Source organism: Homo sapiens, chromosome 8 (genome assembly GCF_000001405.40).
Source record: "Homo sapiens chromosome 8, GRCh38.p14 Primary Assembly".
Taxonomy (NCBI): Eukaryota; Metazoa; Chordata; class Mammalia; order Primates; family Hominidae; genus Homo; species Homo sapiens.
Window position 1 is genome coordinate 128,100,126 of NC_000008.11, and position 10,003 is coordinate 128,110,128.

The 10,003-nt window shown below is 46.9% G+C and overlaps 1 long non-coding RNA gene across 51 annotated transcripts in view, besides 2 other annotated features; it reads left to right on the forward strand.

The window, feature by feature from the left end:
* The window catches only part of PVT1 (Pvt1 oncogene), a 306,733-nt gene extending 305,602 nt beyond the window's left edge, over positions 1-1,131 (forward strand). For all 51 annotated transcript variants that reach the window (NR_186144.1, NR_186151.1, NR_186156.1 and 48 more), the window contains one exon: positions 855-1,131. This is a non-coding gene — a long non-coding RNA (Pvt1 oncogene). The remainder of the gene's footprint in view (positions 1-854) is intronic.
* Positions 6,347-6,847: an enhancer, noted in NCBI's record as "H3K4me1 hESC enhancer chr8:129118718-129119218 (GRCh37/hg19 assembly coordinates)". NCBI's record gives its function as "activates a minimal SCP1, AML or CMV promoter by ChIP-STARR-seq in naive H9 embryonic stem cells {active_cell/tissue: H9 hESC(naive)}" and the evidence as "EXISTENCE:reporter gene assay evidence [ECO:0000049][PMID:30033119]".
* Positions 8,788-9,716: an enhancer, noted in NCBI's record as "H3K27ac-H3K4me1 hESC enhancer chr8:129121159-129122087 (GRCh37/hg19 assembly coordinates)". NCBI's record gives its function as "activates a minimal SCP1, AML or CMV promoter by ChIP-STARR-seq in naive H9 embryonic stem cells {active_cell/tissue: H9 hESC(naive)}" and the evidence as "EXISTENCE:reporter gene assay evidence [ECO:0000049][PMID:30033119]".

The window sequence follows — 10,003 nt, forward strand, 5'->3', positions numbered from 1 at the left end:
CATCCCTCCCTCCCTTCCTTCCTTCCTTCCTTCCTTCTTTCCTCCCTCCCTTCCTTCCCTCCTTCCCGAAACAAATGCCTTGTTAGATATTTTATATCTTTATGTAAATATGCACTCATTTAAATATCATGTGGGCACCTCCTCTGAGTGGCCCTGAGCTTGGTTCTTGGATGTAGCACTGCACAAGAGAAACCAGGTCTCTGCTCTCCTGGAGATCGATGCATCCAGTGTGGGGCACAGACTCAAATCAAGGCAATAGACCAAAACCTAAGCAGGCCACTAACTTGTGTTTAAGTACAACATCCACATGGACGGGAATGAGAATTACAGGGGGAGCACACTTGAGCTGCGGTCCAGCAAAGCCCTCTCTGGGGAGGTGACAGTCAAGCCCAGACCTAAAGGAACCTGCTGCAGGGAGGATGGGAAAGATGTTCTGACAAAGGCCTTGAGATGGGGAAGGCTATGGTTTAGATGAGGAACTTCAGTTGGTCATCCCCTCTCTCATCCATCCTGTTGAAACCACCTTTGCAAAAGGTGTGTCAATGAGAAAATTATAACAGTAAGCTAAGCCAACCCAACCTCCATCTTGCCTTTCTCTTAATTATTCCTGGGCTATTGGGTCAAGCTAACTTTGGAAGACATTTAGGCTACAGTTTAAATGATAATAGGCCTTGCCCAAAACTCAGCCACTTTTGTAAAGCTGTTAGGGGGCCATCAGGGTGCGGGGAGGAGAAGAGCCTGAATCCTACTAAGCTGCAGACATTATTCCGAAGGTTATAAGATATGCAACTTTCCCAATTGCTCCTGTGAATAACACTACTATTACAGATTGGCCTTTTGAAATATCTTTCCAGGTTTTTTGCATGTCTGACACCCATGACTCCACCTGGACCTTATGGCTCCACCCAGAAGCAATTCAGCCCAACAGGAGGACAGCTTCAACCCATTACGATTTCATCTCTGCCCCAACCACTCAGCAGCAAGCACCTGTTACCTGTCCACCCCCACCCCTTCCCCCAAACTGCCTTTGAAAAATCCCTAACCTATGAGCTTTGAATAAGATGAGTACGAACTTCATCGCCCACGTGGCGTGGCCGGCCTCGTGTCTATTAAATTCTTTTTCTACTACAATGCCGTGGTCTTTCTTTATGCAGTGGGCAGGAATAACCCCTTGGGCAGTAACAAATTTGGGGTCTCATGTGGGATTGTGCTGGTGGCTACCTGTGTATGATTCGGTAGCCCCCCACTGGCAACAGGCCTGGAGGCCAGCTCAAACGGCTGCCTAGTTCTCCTGGCAGAGAGATGGGGGCTGACTCTGGCACCATCTCTACCGGCGGGACACTGCTGACCATGGTGCATGGATGCAGTGGGCAGGAAGAATCTCTTGGGCAGTTATGCTATCTATCCAGTCCATCTGTCAAATGTATCCAGACTATGACCTCCTCTCACTTCTTGGTCGAAGCCACCCTCATTCCTGCCTGGAATTTTTGTAACAGCCCCTGGGCTGGGCTCCCAGCTTGTGCCTTTGCCTCTCAGTCTGTCTTCAAAACAGCAGCCAGGGTGATCCTTTGAAAGGGCAGCCAGAGCTCATAAGCCCATTTGCTTCAAAACCCTCAAAGGGTTCCACCTAATTCTGAGTAAAAGCCACAGGCCTCACTGTGGCCTGCGAGGCCCGTGGGATGCAGCCCTGTGATGTCTCTGATCACGTCCTCGTCCTTTCCATCTCATTTCGCCCTGGCATCCTGGCCCCTTTGTCATAACTCAGACCCTCCAGGCATACTTCTGCCTCAGGTTCTCTGCACCTGCTGTGTCCTCTCTAGCCTATTTGTCCACTTCCTCATCCCTTCTCAGTCTTTGCTCGGGTATCATCATTTCCATGAGGCCTTCCCTGGCCACCAGATTTAACACTGAAACTTCCCCACATCCCACGAAGCTCACTATGCTCTTTGCTGGTTTTATTTTCCTCCATTGTTCTTGGTGTCTCCTAATGGGTTCTACAATTAATTGTTTGAGTTGATTTATTAGTTTCTCTTACTCCCCTGGAATATAAACTTCAAGAAGGCAGTGATTTTTGTCTTATCTCTTTCCAAGAAAAGTATCTGTGACATGGTAGGCACTCCATAAGTATTTGTAAAACAAATAATTGGACTTCCTTATACCAAAGACAGTCTGCACAGAAAACAAATCTTTACTTCAAGCACAAACCTTTTGATATACATATATATGTCCAAGTTTTCCTTTTTTTTTTTTTTTTTTTTTTTTTTCAGAGAAGGGCCCTTTCTGGTTTCCCCTGCTGCCCATCAGGATGCACTCAGGCAGCAACTGTACAGTAAAAGGGGACACCTTTAGCCTCTGGTTTCCCAGAGCAGAGAGCTGTCAACACCATAAGCTATTTTTGCCTCACCTCTGGTGCTCCGGAGTGGCAGGCCAGTCACAGGTGTGGTGCATCAGACTATGAAGAGGCTGGGTGGCCACAACTCTGTGCTGGGATGCTGACCTCTTTGAGGCAAACAGCATGAGCTGGAAAAAGTGTGTCTATCTCAGAGTTAAAAACTGGTGAATTCCCCTGTTGCTCTTTACCATCTCCTGGGTCCGTATGATCTGACTGCCACCCACTTTCCCCTTTCCTCACTGGGCTCCAGACACACTGGCTTCCTTCCTTCCTGAAGCCTCCATCTGCTGCCGAGCTCAGGGCTTTGTTAGACGCTCACCCTGCCTGTGTTGCTTCCTGCAGTGTGCTGAATTGTGTCTCCCAAAAGATATGCTGAAGTTCGGACTTCCAGAACCTGTGAATGTGACCTTATGTATAATAGAAATAGGGTCTTCGCAGATGCGATCAAGTTCAAATAAGGTCACTCTGGATGACGGTGGCCCCTAATCCACTGGCTGGTGTCCTGAGGACAGAGACACACAGTGGGGAGGCCTTGAGAAGATGGAGGTAAAGGTGGGAATGATGCATCTACAAGCCAAGGAGCACCAAGGATTGCTGGCAACCACCAGAAACTAGGAAGAGGCAAGGAAAGGCTCTTCCCTACAGCTTTCAGAGGGAGCACAGTCCTGCTGACACCTTGATTTCAGACTGCTAGTCTTCAGAGCTGTGGAAAAATACTTTTCTGTTATTTTAAGCTCCCCAATTTATAATATTCTGTTATGGCAGCCCCAGGAGATGAATACATTTCTTTCTCCTCCTTCGTTTCATACCTCTAGTGCCATCTCCTTGAAGAGTCGTTCTTTAACTCCCAGTCATTACTAGGTTCCCAAGTTCTACACCTTTAGCTCTGCAGCCTATTCCCACGGGAGATTCTCTTGGTAGCCTCCCCCGACACAGTGTAAGCCCCTTTGTGTCCAGGTTGCTCACTATGGGTCCTCAGTCTCTGAGAGCGTCTTCAGCACACATTGCGTGAGCAATCAATTTTTGTTGAATGAATGCATTGCAATCTGGAGTGAGCATAAGATCCCAGTCAGAAGATTGCCCTGGGTGCTTCCCCTAGAAATCCTCAAAGTACAATTATTCAGATTGAGTCACTCAGCCCATGGTACCCTACAGTTGCAGATGACACAAGAAACATGAGAACCTCTGAGGACTTTCCAAGCTGGGGCCTGTTCTTACTGTTTAGCATGAAATGTGTTTTCCTGCTAAGAACATGAACCAGAAATGAGTTTTACCGAGTGGTTAGCAAGACCTTAAATAGAAAGGAAACTCCAAAAAATGTAACTTCTCTCACACTTAAGCCTCCTTTTCAACTTCCCTTTCCTGCTTCCCATCACTAGAACCTCCAGATCTTATTTCCTGGGTGATGATGAATGGTGGGCCCTATTTCAGACCTCCCCAAATTCTGCTGAACTTCCTCTCTTTGGGTTTTAGACAGAGAGGTATGGTAAGTGCCTCTAGAACTGACATCTCCTGTGAGACCCTTCTCTTACATGCTATGTAGGTTTGGCTGCTGATGGATTCAGAATGGTTTTTATTGAGCACCTACTAAGTGCTAGCTTTTACACTACGCATTTTGACACTCTGTAACTTCTTTTTCATTTAATCTGTTCCAGAAACTTATGTTCACTATGATGTGATCTTGCTTTTGATCCATTTTACTGATGAGGAAATTGAAGCTCAGAGAGGTCAAGTAATTTGCCTAAGGTCACACAGTTAATAAATGGTAACGCCATTTTCAATTCTACATCTGCCTGACTACAAAGTTGGTGGTTTTCCTTTCCTAAATGTTACAACTAAAAACCCACTCTAGCTCAAAATGGCAATGGGCTTTATTGTAAGGATTTGGGCTGTGCCTGGGACTGTCTGGTGGTTATCCAGCAGCCTCTTAGGAGGAGTTGGCCTGTTGGATTTATGGACTTGGGACCCTTGGTATGTGCTCAGCACATGCCACAGACCTGGCAAGCATGCTGGCCTGGGGTCATCTGCTCTTGGGGCTGTGTTTTCTGATTAAGGGACATTAGGCTAGCCACTTCCCACATCCAGCTTCAGTTTCCCCAACTATAAAATTAAGACATAGATATGCTTTCCACGCTGCCATCCTGCCCTGATAATCAGATTTTAGTATCCCAGGGCTATAACGCCCCATTCTTCCATACCCCTCAAACTCCTGCCTTTCTATCCTATCTGGAACTGTGGCTTACATAAAAACTCCCAAGGCATCCATGCAGGTCCCTTCTGTCAGAGGCTCCAGCTTCTCCATCCCTTTCCTCCCCTCAGTCGACATCCTCTCCTCTCCTGGAGTTAGTCCTGCTGGGGGACCTTGGGCAAGTTCCTTCACCTCTTTGAGCTTCCGTATCCTTCTCTTTAATGATCTCGAATGTAACAACCCCACCTCATAGCCTCATTATGAGAGCTAGATGAAATGAAACAATAACCACTGTTTACCTTTCAGGCACCTGGCAGAAGTGCACGCTCTGGAGCTGAGTGGATGGGTGCAAATCTTGGCCATGCTGCTCCTCCACACCCAAGCGGTTTGGGCCTGGACTAGTTGCCTGATGCTCCACACCTCCACATGCTCTCTTGTCAGGCAGAAACAGTAACAGCAACCCCCCACGCCTGTTATGAGAGTTAAGTGAGTTGATATTTCTAAAACACATCAGTGTGGGGCATTAGGCTAGCCCCTAATGCCACTCATGCCAACAAGTGCTGTAGAAGAGTTAGCCATTATTCTTAGGTCAGCTAATTATCCAATCAGCCTGACAAAGGAGGTACTGTTATTAGCCCCATTTTATAAACAGGAAAGATCAGTAACTTGGCCAAGGGCAGAGGGGCAGGCCTTGAGCCCAGACGGATAAGACATTCCAGGGGGAGGCTCCTCACCTTCAGTTACACTGACTGCTGGATATAAGGGGGCTCCCCACTTGGAGCTTAAAGGTTTGCAATAGCCACCTTGAAATTCTTGAAAATCTTAATCACTTTATGTTTGAGTTTGTGTTTTGTAAGTGAAGTTCTGCTTCTGCCACCTCCCCCTTTCCCCAAATGTGCCCAAGACTGAAGAGGGTCAGAGTCAATCCCATAATTGTGCCATGGGGCAGGGCTGTGGAGGTCTTCAAGGGGCTGTATTCACCCTACAAGTATTCCTGTGCCCAAAAGAGTATGACATTAAATAGCAGATAAAAACAAAACAAAACACACCAGGACGGAGATCTCAGAATAAAGAAAAAAGCTTTTTTTTTTCCTGTTTGAACAAGCATTTTCATTCTGCACCAGGCCTTGCTAATAAGGTAGCCAGATCTGGGTGCATAGCATGTCACGGGCGGGAATGAAATGATAGTACTCTTTCGCTTCAAAAAAAAAAAACCCCAAAATACTTGTTCCAAGTTTAGTAACTGAGTGCAGTTTGTTCTGACTTTTGATTCACAGGTAGAGACAAAGTCTTTAGCTGAAAGGTAATAGTTTTGCCACCTTCTACAAATATAGATATATTTTTTCCCTAAAGCCTCCTGAGTCCTTTTTAAGATTTGCATCCAAAATATGGGCCCTTTGCCACCGACATTCCTGTTTGGTAGTGGATGAGAGGGCAATCTTATTTTTTTCTTCTTCTGTTGTTATAATCCTCAGATGCAGAGTGTTCTCTTTAAAAGACGCTTTTAAAGGGCAATTACTTTATGCAAATGTGGGCATCTCTGGATGGCTGGCAAGGCTGGAGTCAGGCCGTGGAAGCCTGGAAAGTGGACTGCGCGGGCTGGGCAGGGGACCAGGAGGGAGGCCCTGCTTGCCGGTATCAGCAACTTTCTTCTGCTGCCCCCTGGACCTCTGGGAGAAGACTCAGCAGCCACAGCCAGAGTAATGGGAAGATCACAGCCGCATAGGGCTGTGAATCAGGGAGGACACCTCATCTGGTTTATCTCATGTGAAATAGATGAGGCTCCTTGAGATCTGAGCAAGCAGCCACTCGAAGCCAATCATGGGCGCCACTGCAGACCTGTGTCCAATGAGAGATCTCAGTTAAAGTAGAATAGACCACGCTTCTGTGTCTCCTGCTTCAGTGTAGGCCACAGCACAGCAGAGGGTGGAACATTCCAGGAAAGAGTTAAGGATGCAGGAGAAACCCCCTAAGGGAGGCCAGTATGAGAAAAGGTGGCCTGGGATTGTATGGTGGGGGAGAGGCAGCTGGGCTCCAGATCCTTTTCTTACCCTTGGAGCCTATGCAGTCTTCAAGAGGCCACTGCTGGCCGGGCGCGGCGGTTCACACCTGTAATCCCAGCACTTTGGGAGGCCGAGGCGGGCAGATCACGATGTCAAGAGAGGGAGACCATCCTGGCCAACATGGTGAAATCCCGTCTCTACTAAAAATACAAAAATTAGCTGGGCACGGTGGTGCGTGCCTGTAGTCCCAGGTACTTGGGAGGCTAAGGCGGGAGAATCTCTTGAAGCAGGATAATCGCTTGAACCCGGGGGCGGAGGTTGCAGTGAGCCGAGATCGCGTCACCGCATTCCAGCCTGGACAACGAAGCGAGACTCCTTCTGAAAAAAAAAAAAAAGAAGAAGAAAAAAAAGGGGGGCCACTGCTCCAGTGGCTAGGCCCAATCTCATTTCCAAAGCTGCTTCAGGCATCTGTGAAACCCCCAGATGGAGCAGCCCGGGCTGTGGACACTCTGCCGCATCCATGCCTCCTTGTTGCTTAGTGAGCCTGTTCTCATTACTCCCCCAGCGCCACCCTCTGCATTTGCTCCACTCCTCCTAGAGATGCATCTTTCATTTTTGCATCACTAAATGCACTTCTTCTGTTTCTCTGTTTACCGGAGAAAAAAATAGGAAGCGTGGGAGGCAGGGCACAACAGTCTTCGCCTCGGGTTCGTTGGGTAAGTTTCGCCCATTCTCCAAGAGGGGACCTGACTAGGGAGGCTCACGGTTCAGATCGGTGCTCCAAATTCCCAACATACAACTGAGTCATTTTTACTTGTTTCTACAATTTGTTAATAGTAGCTGGCCTTTGCTGAGTTCCATCTATGAGCTTGGCCCCCTTGCTAATCTCTCTACTACATACAATACCCCTTTTAAGTCTTTTTTATCGCAATATAGTTTACAGATGACAAAATGCAAAGATCTTAAGTTAGAATTTGGTGTGTTTTGCAAATGTATACATCCGTGTACCTTTCACCCCCAAACAAGAACACAGGACATTTCTTTCACCCCTGGGAATTGCCTTGTGTCTCTTTCTATATTCCGTCCTGCTCACCCCACACGAAGGTGACCACTGTTCTAATTTCTGTCCTACCCATGCATTTTCTCTGTTCTAGAACTTCTTAGAATCATCTTTACTTTCCTCATGTCTAGCTTCTTTTCTTCAGTACACTGTTTATGAGATTCATCCAGGTTGTTGCATAGATCAAAAACACTTCCTTTTTATCGCTATTTAGTATTCCATTCTCTGGATACTCCACACTGTTTATTATTTCATCTGTTTGATGGACATTTGGGATGTTTTAAGTGTGCATTGATGATGAATAAGGCTGCTATGAGATTTCATGGACAAGTCTTTTTATGGACATATGTCTTGGGGAAATACCTAGAAGAGGAATTGTTGGATCATATGCTAAGTGTATTTGTAGCTTTCTAAGCAACTGCCAAAACTGTTTTTCCAAGTGGTGGTATCTTTTTTTTTTTTTTTTTTTTTGAGAGATAGTCTTGCCCTGTCACCAAGGCTGGAGTGCAATGGTGTGATCTCAGGTCACTGCAACCTATGCCTCCCAGGCTCAAACGATTCTCCTACCTCAGCCTCCTGAGTAGCTGGGATTACAGGCACCCACCAGCACGCCTGGCTAATTTTTGTATTTTTAGTAGAGACGGGGTTTCACCGTGTTGGCCAGGCTGGTCTCAAACTCCTGACTGCCTCGGCCTCCCAAAATGCTGAGATTACAGGAGTGATCCACAATGCCTAGCCAATATTATTTTTTAACTCTTGCCAGGAGCAGAGGAGAGCTCCAATTGCTCCACATCCTCACCAACATTTGGTATTGACAGTCTTCTTGATTTTTGGCCATCTTAGTGGGTGTGGAGGGCTGTCTCGCCATGGTTGTTATTTACATTTTCCTAATTACTAATGGCATTGGGCACTGTTTCACACACTTATTGCATATATCTTCTTTGTGAAGTGTCTAGGTCTTTTCTTTATTTGGGAAGATGGGTTGTTTGTCTTTTTATTATCGAGTCGCAAGGGTTATTTATATATCATTGATACAAATCCCTGGTCAGATACATGTGCTGCAAATATTTTCTTCCAGTCTCTACTCACACTGTCTCTTTTAATCCTCCCAGCAACTTGATGAAGTAGATGTTACTATCCTCTTCTTTATTTCCTAGAAGCCAAAACTGAAGCACAGAAAGTTTAAGTGAAATGTTCAGAATCACACAGCTACTCAGTATGGCAGTGAGAGTGTGGGCCTACTGCAGTGTGACTCAGAGCATTGATGTCCAGAAAATCCCAGGAAGCTTCTTTCCACACACGAAGCCTTGTATCTCCCTGGCAGTCTGGAGGCATGTGGCCCTCGAGCCAGTGCTGGGCTGGGTTATTTCGGTTCACACTCTCGCCCTCTGCCTTGCACATACCAGACCATCCTGGGAAGTAGGCGGCTCCCACAACCCGGTTGGGAGCGTGGTCTTCTGGGGAGGATGCCACACAGCTTTGAGTTGCTCTGATGAAAGACAAACTGCGGGGATTCTTATGGGCCTCCGAGGACGCTGACAGTATTACCTCATGCCAGGAATAACAATGAGGGGCCTAGGCGAGCTCGCCGCCAGCCCTTCTCTGGGAGGCACCGCTGGAGGAAACCAGCCAGGAGATGGGAGGACGGGGCTGGGATATTTAGTCCACAGCTGTCTCAAAGGAGAACTATTGGGTGCCTCAGGGACTTCCCTCTTTCTTTCTCCTTTCTGAGCAGGTGAAAGGGTCCCTGCGGCAGTCAGAGCGAAAGGCTAGGAGGTTTTGTGAGAGTAAGAACAATGGCAACTCCAGCCCTCAAAATGCTAGTTGGAAGAGCGAGCCTCTCTGAGCACTCGCTGTGTGCCAGGCACCGCGTCCACACTTTGCAGCCCCACTTGATGCAAGACTCTGTGTAGTGGCTTTGCATTTACTCCCTCAATCCTCGTCACACCCCCATGAGACACGCACTATTAAAATGCCTACAGGAGGAAACTGAGGTCCAGAGAGGTGAAGTAATTTGCCTAACGTCACTTATTTATAAGTGGTTGAAGTTTGAATAGGGGTTTAGCTAATTCTAAAGCCCAGTAGCTTTACTGCTACGCACTTCTGCCATTCTGTTAAAAAACTTTGTCAAATTTCAAGTTTGTGTCATGCACTACACATGAGGTGTCTTGGTCAGTGGAATATAAGATTGAACAAGACCTGACTCTTCTTTGGGCACTGTGTGGGTTGGATGGTGGACCCCCAAAAGAAATGTCTACATCTCAGAACCTGTGAATATCATCTCACTTGGAAAAAAATATTTTTGCATATATAATTAAGGATCCTGAGATGAGATCATCCTGGATTCTTTGGGTGACCCT